Genomic DNA, 13,842 nt, shown 5'->3' on the forward strand with positions numbered 1-13,842 from the left:
TATTTATTTTTGCAAACTTATTCTCTCAAAAATTAAACCTTCTTCCTGTATCCTTGGATAACTATCCCACAGACTTTAAAACACTGGAGAAATAAGGACATTAATTACATTTCTGAAAGTACTTAACACGTAGGGTACGATCAAGGTCTGGCAGAATTTGGTTTGAATATGTTTAACCTCTGGAGGTAACAAACAATAAGAGATATATACAAATTCTAACTTAGATAACCGAACTTACCTATACAGACGGTTCCATCATTAGTGATAAACCTGTCTTGGTTACTGCTGGATCTGAAGCCAGGTACACACATACAATAATAACTTCCTTCTGTGTTAGTGCAATTAGCATTTTCGCCACAGGACTGAGTTAAATTTCCACATTCATTATCATCTGTTGGCATATGAATTTAAAAGATTATTTTTATATAATTGACATAAATTTTGACTATTTTCCATCAGTATTTTGGAATATTGACTGTTAGATAGTTTAAGGTATGTGATGTTTATATCTACAAACCTTAGTGCTAAAGAATCCATATTCCACACTTCCTTATTCTTGTTTATAATAAGAGATCTTCTTTGTAGTTGCAAAGCAAAATAGTATCTCTTACTTTAAAAGCACTAGATATAACTATTAAATCTATATGGCAATATCTTTCAAATTTTTACATATAATTTAATTATAACCATGTCAACAAATATAAGCTCACTTTGAATTTATGGTACTCTTCATAATCCATCAAAAGCACAACATAAATTAAAAATGAAAAATCAGAAATTACAAATTGACATGTTGTTATCATGTACTATTTATTTCATCCACTGTTCCACAGAAAAAATTTGCATTACTTGGCACACAATCTTTTCATGTATTCATTAATGCATTTATTTACAACTATATGCATTATATTGTTCCACAGAATAGTATGCAATACAAAAAATTAAAAGTAAATAATATAGTCTTTACCTTTATACTCTTACAATATAATTTATCAGGGAAGATAAAGGTTCATAAAACCTTTTTAAACATCAGAGAGCAGATTTATATTATCTGTTAAATAAATTGATTGGAAAATATGTGCTTCTCAGAGATGATCATAATGGTCTGGAGGAGGAGAATATTTTCCAGTGACATGAAACCCTGTTTTGGGTTAAAAAACATAGTTCAAGTCCTAACCCCAAGGTGTCTGTGAATGTGACATTGTTTGAAATAGGCCCTTTGGATATGTTATTAAAGAAAAACAAGGTCATACTCGATTATGGTGGGCGCTAATTCAATGATTGACATCCTTATAAAAGGACGGAAATTTGGATATAGAGACACAGAAGAGAAGGCTTTGTGAAGACAGAGGCAGAGACTGAAAGATGTAACTGCAAACCAAAGAATGACAAGGATAGCTGGCAACCACAAAAGCTAGAGGAGGCAAGGAAGGATTCTTCCCTAGACGTTTTCACGTTTTTGAAGCAGCATGGTTCTGCTGACACCTTGATTTTAGACTTTTAGCCTCCAGAGCTGTGAGAGAATAAATTTCTGATATTTTAAGCCACTAATTTGGTCATATTTTTTTATGGCAGCCCTAGAAAACTGATAGACTCAAACTGGAGAATATAGGATAGGTAAGTATCAGTTAGAGAGAAAGAGAAGAAGAAAGGAAAATAAAGGAATAAAAAATTTTGGACAAAGTTGCAGGCAGAAAAGTGACTGGGATATTCTGAAGATTGTAAGAAGCCTAATTGGGGAGCACAGAGAGAAATCACAGGAGAATCATAAAAACAAGTCAGGTTTGAAAAATGTCTTGAATCTTTATTCTTCATTTTATTCAAACCAGGCTTAATTTCTTTTTAAAGGGTGAGTTGTGTAGCATTTAATTCATATACTGGCTATTGCTCACATATAGTAATTACTAAAAGTTGAAGATTATTCCAAATGTTTTATAAATATTAATTAGCTTAATGCTTTATAGAAGCTCTAGGAGGTAGGTATTATTATCTTTAACTGATGAGAAAAATAGAGCAGACAGAGCCCAGGCATCATACCTAAGAGTTTTTTCTTTGTGGCATCAGATAGCTTTTTACTTTACCATAGTTACCTTCCTGGCAGGTTGAGAGCAAATCTCAAGTTCTGTTGAAAATTTTAATCCCTAGCATTTGACCTGATTTATTACTGGGAAGACAGAAGAGCAGAGCAGCAAGGGAAGAACTTTGAGCTTCTCCTGGAGACCAACAACTTTGAGATATGAAAGAACAAAGGTTGAGTTATCAAAAGTTTGTATAGACCAGGTGGGTAATGTAACAGTTTGATTCCATCAGGAGTCAGACAATAGAAGGTGGTGTCGTGTAGCTTGTGGTACCAGTAAGTACACACTCACTTAAAAAATTTAAAATTTAAAAAATTTTAAAAGCATATTTAAGATACTTTGTTCAGATTTAGCATTTGGCCAGGCACTTGTCAAATGCCCCTAAAGCACAGCATATGGAGGTGGGAGGAAGAGAGAAAAATTGCTGAAATATGACAATAAAGTAAGATAAGTTATGAATAGTCTTCTATAAAATGCGGAAGAGTTAATACTTTATTAACATGCATTTAATTAATTTACCTATTTTATATAAATAAATATATGATGCAACTCTATATGGCTATATATACTCAGAAAGTAGATATGTATGTCTATGAATGCATAAAATAGAAATTAAACTAGTTTCTTAAAATTAACTGAGAGTGGTTCACAAATTGAACATAAGCAAAATAGTTCAACCATATTAGGTTTGATTCAATCATTCAGTTACTCAAATATTTATGGAGTCTCCCAGTTCTCAAAAGTGAATATATCTATATTGGGAAATAAGTAAAAATTAATCAAAAAGTCAGGATCTGTGCCCTGCTGTCAGAGTTCACATTCTAAAGGCAAGTTAACACAGAAGCATATAATTGAGTTTTTATTAAAATAAAAGTTTTCATTTTTATCTTTAAATTTGACTCCCTTCATGGCATACTGGGAGAAGTTTATATTAAACTTTAAAAGAAATTGGCTCTCAGATCAGTTATTGGTAATATAGAGGACGATGAGGATTGTATCCCTTGTGGGCTATAGCTGTAAAAATGATATGCAAAAATATAGAGAAAAAGAACACATGAGGTCTGAGGTATTGGTTGGAGTACAAGAAAATGAACCACTTTATATCACCTAACTGATTGTTTGTAAAAATAGATTAACTTGCCAATATGTTGCTTAACCCTGAAATATTGTTACTAGTCTTGGGTAATACATTAATAGGTAGAAAAAAACAAAAGTTGATATTAATTTTTGTGTCTCTTCCTGCTGTATGGTTTTGAGCGCTTGACCTCTTTGCTTTCTTATCAAGAATTTGGAAAGAAAAATATTTCCTTATCTATCTCCCTATCTTCTGGGCTGGATATATGATATGGACAAATTCCCTAATGTTCCAACTCAAATATTGTTCGGTAAAATACCACTTATCTGAAAGTAACCTCCCTCTTCCCTCAAGATTGTGGAGATAGGCAAGAAATTATCTTTGTGAAGTAATATATAAATATGAATTATTTAAATTGCCTTAAACTTTCCAGTGTCCAACTTCATAATAATTAATCTTCAAGGAGAAAGTTTCTCTGGATGAGTATAGTATAGAAAAATAAAAGTCTGCTTCTTGGGCACTCTTATTTCTAATGTTCAAATCAATTCACCAGTTATACTACCTAATCCCTGTAACTAACTCTATAATTTTGGTAGATTGTAAAATAACTATTTAGATTAAGATGTCCCTTGAAAAATTCTTTAAAATACAATTATATTGTAGATATATTTTAAAATGTTATTAAAATGTTTTAATAAGGAAAAATATTTGGTATTCTCTGATAAAAAATTCTTCCTCGTTCACCTCTGATACGCTGAGTTAAGCACGGCAAGAACACAGGCATACACACAGCTCCTAACTTTAAGGTATCCATAGCTACTGGAGAAGATGTACCAACACCCAAATTATCAGATTGTAGAGTGTGTCAAAAATAAAAGAGGTATTTAGTAGTACAGTGGCAACTGGAAGAAAATGGCTTCCTTAGGTCATTTGCAAGATAAAAAGGTGAAGATTATTGACAGAGAAGTATTAGGAAAGGAAGTGATGTTTGGAGTCAGGTAATGAAGTATAAGCAAGAGTTTAGACAAACAAAAGGGGTCCCCACAATCCAATCAGGCAAAGGAAGAAGTTTACCTAAATGCCTGGAGTCCTGCAGGAACAGCGTAATTTAGAGGAGGATTGTACTGTCAGACACTGGGCAGGAGGGTAACGGCTTCAGGGCAAGAATCTGTGCAGGTAGGCATGGCTGAAACCGAGAAAACGCTTGCCAAGAATTTGGAATTATATCCAGTGGGTAAAGGATGTCCATCAACAGGTTTTATGTAGTGGATAAATATGATCGGATTTGAGTTTCAAAACATGTTTTCAAGGATAAAGAAAACTAAGGCCCAAGTAACTCTGGTTACAAGGCTTGAACTAACCAAAACAGAATCAAGGAGAAAGAAGTAGGGAATATTTCAGAAATATTTAGGTGTTACGAGTCAGTGATTTGGAGAAGATAAAGAAAAGAGGGTAGGATTAAACAGGTGATAGCTACATGCAAATTTTTATATCATATTTTGCTTTTCTGTATTTTAAATTTTTCATAATAAAATAATACTTAAAATATCAGTGGGGCTTGGAGATTGAATGGATATTTGAGTTGGCTGAAGAGAGGGGAGCAGCAAAAATGAAATCCAGGTTCTGACTTGGAGCGATCTGGTGGATAAATTGATCCACTTACCAGGACAGGGAGAAGCAGAGGAGGAACATTCTTGCAGGGTAAGATGTTGAGTCACTTTTGGACATAAAATGTTGATGTGCCTTAATTAACTGAGGACATTTCAGAAGACGTATCAATAGTTCTATAGTCAACCATACAGTCATGAATTGTCTATTCATGAGAGAAAGCTCACGACTCCCTTCTTCTCTTCCAGAGCATGAGTCAGATTCAAGAGCATGGCATTTCTCAGCTCCTGAGAAAAGGGGCAAGCCTGCTGCTTTTCTTTGTGCTTCATCTCTAAATGGACTCCTTTGCTCTCCTTCTAACTCCCCAGGTTCCATCTCAGCTTACAGAGCATGGGTATGGGGCATTATTGCACTCTTGTTTTGCCTCCCCATCATCTGTTTTTTGTTGTCCTTTGTATCTTCTTCCTTGAGTTTACTTCTTCTTACCAATCAAGTGATAAAGTCCAGAGGATTGAGGGTAGGATGTGAAGGTAGAGAAAAATGAAAAAGGAAGCCTCTCCACATATTTTTCTTTCAGCATTACCAGAAAAAGCCTTTGGGGTTTCACATGGTTCAGCCCAACTTGCCAGTAAACTACACAGGGGGTTAAAATAATAAACAGATGCATATGTCTACGATATATTTTCAAAATATCTGTTGGCATTTTGTTTCTGTTGTTGATGGTTATCTACTCGTTTAGTTATTTTGGAGTTATATCAACAAGTAGATTAGCAAGATTTATACCCGATAGTATGAAAGAATTATTTCAGGGAAAACACATATTTCAAGCATTCTGTTAAATGGTACATTTTATATTACTTAGTTGTTGCAAAAATGCAATGATTGATATTGTCTTCATTTTACTTAAGAGGAAACTAAAGCTCAGATGGGTTAAATCATGCTAGCGTAGAAAGAGAATCTGGTAGACACAGTTTTTATGCTTAAGACTGTCTGACTCCAAAGACAAAGTTATTTTTCAGCGTTGAAGAGTGAAGTGTACTTTATCATAAAGTGTACTTCTTAATAAGACATAAAGAGCGAGCATATAATTCTCCAAATTCAAGAGTTATATTGAGTCCCCTAGTAATGAAACATTTTTGACCATAAACCATATGATTATGTTATCTTCTTTGTATAATAGGACAGAAGCTTATTTGCTTTATAAGACACTGGTATTCAAGAATCTCAACAAGATTTTAGTTTATATTTCATTTTTTTAATCTATTGACCAAAGATGGAGAAAAATAAAAAGAAAAAAGAAAAAAGAATCGTCTTTTTTTTATCACTTGAGATATTATTGGCCGGGCTCAAATTGATTATAACAACTTGAAATCTATGGAACTTTAACAGCAGCATCACTCCTGTACACATTTTCCCTCTGGACGTGATTGCCAGTGTTGCTCCGTAAACTTGAACACTAAAATGACTATAACCATTATGTGATTCCTTGTAAAACAGGCCCTCTGTGTCAAAGGTGGAGTAACATAGAAAGCTTTTTTTTTTTTTTTTTCCTCTTTTTCCCCAATGCAGCTGCTGGGCTCATTTGTTTTCAACAGCACTGGGAATTCTCTTTCCATATCAGTACTATAAGGAACTTTAAAAGATCATCACTATCCTTCTCAATCAATTATGGACTTTCTGTGGTTTGTATTTATTCTGTGAATACCAAAGTAAAAATACAGGTAAAGAGATAAGGAGGAAGAAAAGATCACCAGAAAGGAAAGAAAAAAAAAGAACTACAATGAATCCAGAATGGATTCAATCAGTCAAGACAAATAATAGACTTATAAAGCCCATAGTGTAAACTCACATTTCCTTGACCATGAACTCAAGTTCAATTTAGTAAAGGAAATGTAAAATTCATCAAATGAAAGTGTTACAATTATAAAGGTAAATAAAGCAGAGTTATACAAGAATAAAATGTTTGTGTTGGGTATTTATTATTATTTTCAATATCTGCATTGGGAATGAATTTTTAAAGTGTTTGAAACTACAGGTTCATTTCAAAATTTTTTTGAAGGAAAAATGTCACTTTGACTATGAGTCAGACTTTGAAAAGTATGTATAAGCCAGGAAAAAAAACAAACAATACTTGTATAGAATGGTCTCTGTTTCTGTTTACACTTACTTATTTTCTGAGGGAAATGCAGCACTTAAGAAAATGTTCCCGTTTTATATTATTATCATTTTTTGGTCCTCTTTGTCAGAACTATTAATATACACATATTAGAAAAACAAACAAAATGAAGTATAAGTAGAGAAGGTAAATGAAATGAAACAATCTTATGTTTGTACATATTGGAAACCACTTATCTTGACCATTGGAGATATGGAAAATTCTGACACATTTTTTTCAAACTATCAAAGACTCTAAAACTTTGTCATTCCATTGTATCTATCAATCAATGGTACAGTAAAGATGAGTAATGCTCTTACAGTATCTCTGGGACTTACATGATGGCTATGAAGTTGTTTTTGAGGAGCTAGTTTTATTGAATTTTGTTTCTAATCATTGATGTAATGCATATTCAATGGGGAAAATTAAATCATTGGTAGAAAAATCTTACAAGCTCTCAGTTGCAAAAAAAAAGCTGCTAGTTCACAAACGAAAAACTATTAGAATAGTATCAGATTCTTGCTAACATCACTGAAAGACAATAGAGTAACACGTTATGTCACTGAGATAAAATGAGTGTGTCTTTATAATTTTCTAACCTGCTAGAGAAACCGTTCTCTGAACAGAATGAAATACATTTGTAGAAATACATGGATTCAGAGAGTAGATCAATCATGCACTGTGTGTGAAGAAAATATTCAAGACAGCATTCTAACCAAATACCAATGAATTCAGGAGACAGAACTTTATATAGGGGAAGATTAGATGGAGAGGTAAAAATGGTGGACAATAAGCTCTGCAATACATAAATTCAAATAGATGATGACTGTGTGATCATGAACACATAACACAAGTGCTAATTATGACTCTCATAGGATACATGTTGATAGGAGAAACTAATAAATGGTCTGCACCGGCCAGGCTAGGTTGCTCAGGCCTGTAATCCCTGCACGTTGGGAGGCCAAGAAAGGCAATCATCTGAGGTCAGGAGTTTGAAACTAGCCTGGCCAACATGGTGAAACCTCGTCTCTACTGAAAATACAAAATTACTGGGCATGGTGGCACATGCCTGTAATCTCAGCTACTTGGGAGGCTGAGGCAGGAGAATCGCTTGAACCTGGGAGGTGGAGGTTGCAGTGAGCCAAGGTCATGCCATTGCACTCCAGCCTGGGCAACAAGAGCAAAACTCCATTTCAGAAAATAAATAAATAAATAAATAAATAATAAATAAATAGTCTGCACCTAGTAGGGTTCATATTACTTTAGTTAGGGTGAGGGTGGAGCACAGTGGGCAAGTAAAACACACTGGAAAAGAGAAGACTCGTTATCTAATTTTAGTAAAGGACAAAAATATCGAATTTATTATAAGTATCTGGAATGAGAAATGTACTGAAAATTCACAATTGAATTTAAAAAACAGGGAAAAAAGATAAAGTAAGCCTTCAAAATCTAACATAAGAGAAAAAACAAAACTCTGAGTAAAAACAAATGAGCTATCATTAAATAATTTTGATGGAATAAGAATAGCAATCAAGTATATCAACTGTTACACTAAATGAGGAAGACATGCATTTCCCCATAAGACACAGCACGTCAGATTATGTTGCAAACAAAATCCAATTATATTTTATTAACAATAAACATACTTAAATTTTAAATGGAAACAACCTTGAAAATTTCAACAAAGAAAATAGGGATGGCACACAATATTAAAGTAGAATTTAAGATTAAAGTTATTAAAAGACACAGAAGCACATTATATCACTAAAAGTTCAGTTTATTAAAAAATTGTAGTTAGAAATATAGAACTTAAACACAACATTTTAGCTTAAAAGCTATAGAGAAACAAATTACATGACATTCAAAGGGAACTAGACAAACGTGCAATAATAGCTAAGTATTTTAATTTTCCTTTTTATGAATCTGATACACCTAACTTACTAAAAAATTTGTGCTTATATCAATAGAGACCAAAAATGTAATTAATAAAATTCATCAGATAGGGGAAAAGTTTTTTCAATGTAGTAATGGCTACTTAACAAAAACAACATAAATATTATTCTAAATCGTGAAACTTTGATCAGCATGGCCAAACTAATCTTCAGGAAATGTGTAGATATTTAGTAATGTAAGAGATGTGCATATTTCTCAATTCCTTTGCATTCAATTTCAATTTGATAGACAAAATATAAGATCTCATTTCTATAATCATGTTGAGATTATGTATTTAAATATTACTGAGTACAGAACCCTCTTGTATATTTACATGACATTTATTTTGTGTTCTTGCTTTTGTTATCTGGCTCTTCATAGCTTTTGCTTGGGCATTATTAATTTTCTTGTAGATTTGCAAGAGGCTTTTAACAATTATCAACTATTGCCTCTCACTGATATGACATAAATGTTAAACTTAAAATTGTTTTTAACTTTATTTGTGGCATAGTTTGTTTTATTTACTTGTTTGCTTCCCAAGCTGCAGAGATTTTTTGTAATCATGTCTTGCATTCTTTTCCTTTCTTGTTTATGATCTTGTATCGCAATTATAAACCATTTATACTCCTAACATTATAAAAATGTTTAATAGTACTTTTGTATTGCCTTTGTTTTTTTTCCTACAATAAAATCTCTAAAATAATATGCAGTTTACTTCAGTGTAAAATGTGAAGTTGAAATCTAATTATTTTCCTAAAATGAGTAAGTTTTTTCATCATTATTTTTGCGTAATCATTCATTTTTTTCCTGATGTAAAATGTTATTTTTTCATACTCAAAATACACTAATTTACTTAGAACAGTTTCTGAAGTCTCTCTTATGTTGATGAGTTTTTCCACACCTTCATAACTGCCAGCCAGGTTTACTTATGAATGAGACCTTGTTTCCTTGATTTGAAGATGCCATAAATTTTAAGACACATCATCAGTGCAATAAAATATTTTGGAAAAAAACTATCTAATCTATACTTACTAAAAGTGTATGCATTTATTTACACAAATACATTGTACTTTCTTTACTATATAATAACGATTGACTCTAGTCTTTTTCCAGATTATATTCTAATATGACTTTGAATTACCTTTGGTATCCAACAGCATATAGCATCAGGATGATACACTCCTTCCATAATTTGTGATTATAACCTTGACCTCTATATGTATTGCATTTAGGAATGACATTAGTTATTAGTTATTGCATTTAGATATTGCCGAAACACAAAAATTAGCAGGACTTTGTCTTCATTTTTTAAATATAAACTAGGATATCACTTGTTTCCCCTTTGCTTCTTGGTATAGCGCTGTAAACTTACATAACTTTCCCAGCATTCAGTTTAAGCTGTCGGATACATGTCCCATACCTAGATAATATCCCTTCTGGAAGCCTACATTGGTTATGTCAACTGCACCTAGCCTTGCACATTTTATTAGTCGTTCATAGAGATTTGACTCTGATTACCTCTAAGCAAGAAATGGCAACAAACTCATAGTTTATTTATGAGTCAACAAGTTCATCTTGCCATCATACTGATTAGTATGTGAAAAACAGTATTTGTCTAGTGTTCAAGTCTATGTTAGCTTTTAATTTTTGGTAAGGCAAGAGCCTAACACTCATTTTGCAAATCTCTCAATCTGTTCACTTTCTTCCCCATTTTTAAAATCTATTATGCAAAACCAGGTTGCTCAAATATTATTTGTCACAATGAATAATAAAATGTAATATTGTTGACAACAGAGAATTGAATTACCTATCAATATCATAAAATTAAAATTACCTAATGTTTGAGAAAACAACAATAAAGAAATAAAAACCCTTGTAAATAATGAGACAAAGAAGAAAAAGAAGTCAAAATGGAAGCATTGTGTCCTTCAGAAAACAGAAATGAGTACAGGCATACCTTGTCTTACTAAGCCTCACTTTATTGTACTTTGCAGAAATTGCAATTTTATGGTTTGTTTCAGCTCTGTGTCAATCAAGTCCATTGGCATCATTTTTCCAAAAGCACGCGCTCACTTCAAGTCTGTGTCATATTTTGGCAATTCTCACAACACTTCAGACTTTTTCATGATCACTATACTAGTTATTGCAATATGTGATTAGTGTTCTTTGATATTATGATTGTAATTGTTTTGGGATGCCATGAACCATGCCCATATAAGATGGCAAACTTAATTGATAAATGTTGCGTGTTCTGACTGCTGAACCTACTGGCTGTTTCTCAGTCTCTCCATTGCTCAGCCCTCCCTATTTCCTGAGACACAATAATACTAAAATTAGGCCAGTTAATAACCCTACAATGTTCTCTAAGTAAGTGCTCAAGTGAAAGGAAGAGTTGCATTTATGTCACTTTAAATCAAAAGCTAGAGATAATTAAGCATAGTGAGGAAGGCATGTCAAAAGCTGAGACAGCCCAAAGCCTAGGCCTCTTGCACCAAACAGCCAAGTTGTGAATGCAGAGGAAAAGCTCTTGAAGGAAATTAAAAGTGCCACTCCAGTGAACATACAAATGCTAAGAAAGTGAAAAAGCCTTATTGTTGATACGGTGAAAGTTTTAGTTGTCTGCATATAAGAACAAACCAGCCACAGCATTTCCTTAAGACAAAGTCTAATCCAGAATAAGACTGTAACTCCCATCAATTCCATAAAGGCTGAAGGAGGTGAGGAAGTTGCAGAAGAATATTTGAAAGCTAGCAGAGGTCGGTTCATGAGGTTTAAGGAAAGAAGCTGTCTCCATAATATAAAAGTGCAAGAGGAGGCAGGAGGTGCTGATGTAGAAGCTGCAGCAAGTTATCCAGAAATCTGGCTAAGATAATTGTTAAAAGTGGCTACAGGAAACAATAGATTTTCAGTGTAGATGAAACAGCCTTCTATTGGAAGAAGATGCCCTGTGAGACTTTCATAGCTAGAGAGGAGAAGTCAATGCCTGGCTCCAAAGCTTCAAAGCACAGGCTGATGCTCTTGTTAGGGACTGATGCAGCTGTTGATTTTAAGTTGATGCCAGTGCTCATTTACCATTCCAAATATCCTGGAGCCTTTAGAATTATGCTAAATCTACTCTGCTTGTGCTCTATAAAGAAACAATCCTTTTATGACAGCACATCTGTTTACAGCATGGTTTACCGAATACGTTAAGCCCATTGTTAAAAAAATAAAACAGTGGGCCTACTTCTCAGAAAACAAGGTTCCTTTCAAAATATTACTGCTCATTGTCAATCCATCTGATCATCCAAGAGCTCTGATGGAGATGTCCCAGAAAATGAAGGTTGTTTTCATGCCTGCAAATAACATCCATTCTGCAGCTCAGGGATCAAGGAATAATTTTTACTTTTAAGTTCTATTATTTAAGAAATACACTTTTATAAGGTTGTAGATGCCATAGATAATGATTCCTCTGATGGATCTGGACAAGTAAATTGAAACTCTGGAAATGATTCACCATTCTAGATGTCATTAAGAACATTTGTGAATCATGGGAGGAGGTGAAGATATCAACATTAACAGTAGTTTGGAAGAAGCTGATTCCAACCCTCATAGATGACTTGGAGGGGTTCAAGACTTCAGTGGAGGAAGTAACTGCGGACGTGGTGGAAATATCAAGAGAACTAGAAATGCAGCCTGAGATGTGACTGAATTGCTGCAATCTCATGATATAACTTTGATGGATGAGGAGTTGCTTCTTATGAATAAGCAAAGAAAGTTTTTTTCCTGAGGTGAAATCTATTTCTGGTGAAAATGCTGTGAACACTGTTGAAATGACAAAAAAGGATTTTGAATATTTCATAAACTTAGTTGATAAAGCAACAGCAGGGTTTGAGAGGACTGACTCCAATTTTAAAAGATATTCCATGGGTAAAGTGCTATCAAATAGCATTGCATGCTACAGGGAAATCTTTTGTGACAGGAAGAGACAATCCAAGTGGAAAATTTCATTGTCTTGTTTTAAGAAATTGTTGCAGTTACCACAGTCTTTGGCAACCACCACCCTGATCCGTCAGCAGCCAACATCAAAGCAAGACCTTCCACCAGCAACACGTTTATGACTTGCTGAAGGTTCAGATAATTGGTGGCATTTTTCAGCAACAAAGTATTTTAAATTAAAGTACATACATTGTTTTCTTTAGACATAATGCTACTACACACTTACTACTGTATAATGTAATGTAAACATAACTTATGTGCACTGGGAAACTAAAAATATTGTGTGACTTACTTTATTGTGATACTCGCTTTATGGCACTAGTCAGAACCAAATTTACAATATCTCTGAGGTATGCCTTTATGTAATTCATTGAAGAAAACAGAAATAGCTCATTGCTCTACATAAATATTTATCTTTACTAATAATCAAAGAAACTAAAATTAAAATAGAAAATGAAAGCCCAATTATCAGCTACAAAATTGGCAAAGTATATTTAGAAACTGCAATCAGTTTTTTAGGCAGTGATTAATAAGTAGGCAAATTGGTTATGACACCATCACACACTCAATACCACCATTTGCCAGGCCAATAGTTTTTAAACCGGACTCAGTCATTGGGCTGAAATAGCAAAAACACATTCATAGCATCCTTAACATCTTCAGTTAGTCATGTCTCCAGTCTGACCTGTGTGTGTGTTTACCTCCTAGGCAAAATGTCAGAACATTGCATGGACTGGTGGACTGCCTGATCTCATAATCTTGTTTTCTTTTTTAATAGCAAGCACCTTATAGAAGTGATGAAATTCAATTTGTATTTCCTTGTATTTTATTGGTCTGGACTCATTTATTCTAACATTTTACTTTCTTAAAACTGTTGATAAAAGTATACTGAACCAGAGTCAGTATAATCAGAGCATTCACGTACCTTGCTCTCTCAAGGATAGACACTTTTACATCAAGATCACCAAAGGTGGCCATATATTTTCCCATGAACCTTCTTGATAGATATTAAGTCT

At 33.5% G+C, this 13,842-nt stretch overlaps 1 protein-coding gene across 1 annotated transcript in view; it reads right to left on the reverse strand.

Moving 5' to 3' along the window:
* The window catches only part of ADGRL4 (adhesion G protein-coupled receptor L4), a 116,967-nt gene that overhangs the window by 56,272 nt on the left and 46,853 nt on the right, over window positions 1-13,842 (reverse strand). Inside the window, exon 3 of the mRNA NM_022159.4 lies at window positions 239-391. Within this exon, the coding sequence (NP_071442.2) occupies window positions 239-391 (153 nt within the window). The remainder of the gene's footprint in view (window positions 1-238; window positions 392-13,842) is intronic.

Source organism: Homo sapiens, chromosome 1 (assembly GCF_000001405.40).
Source record: "Homo sapiens chromosome 1, GRCh38.p14 Primary Assembly".
NCBI lineage: Eukaryota > Metazoa > Chordata > Mammalia > Primates > Hominidae > Homo > Homo sapiens.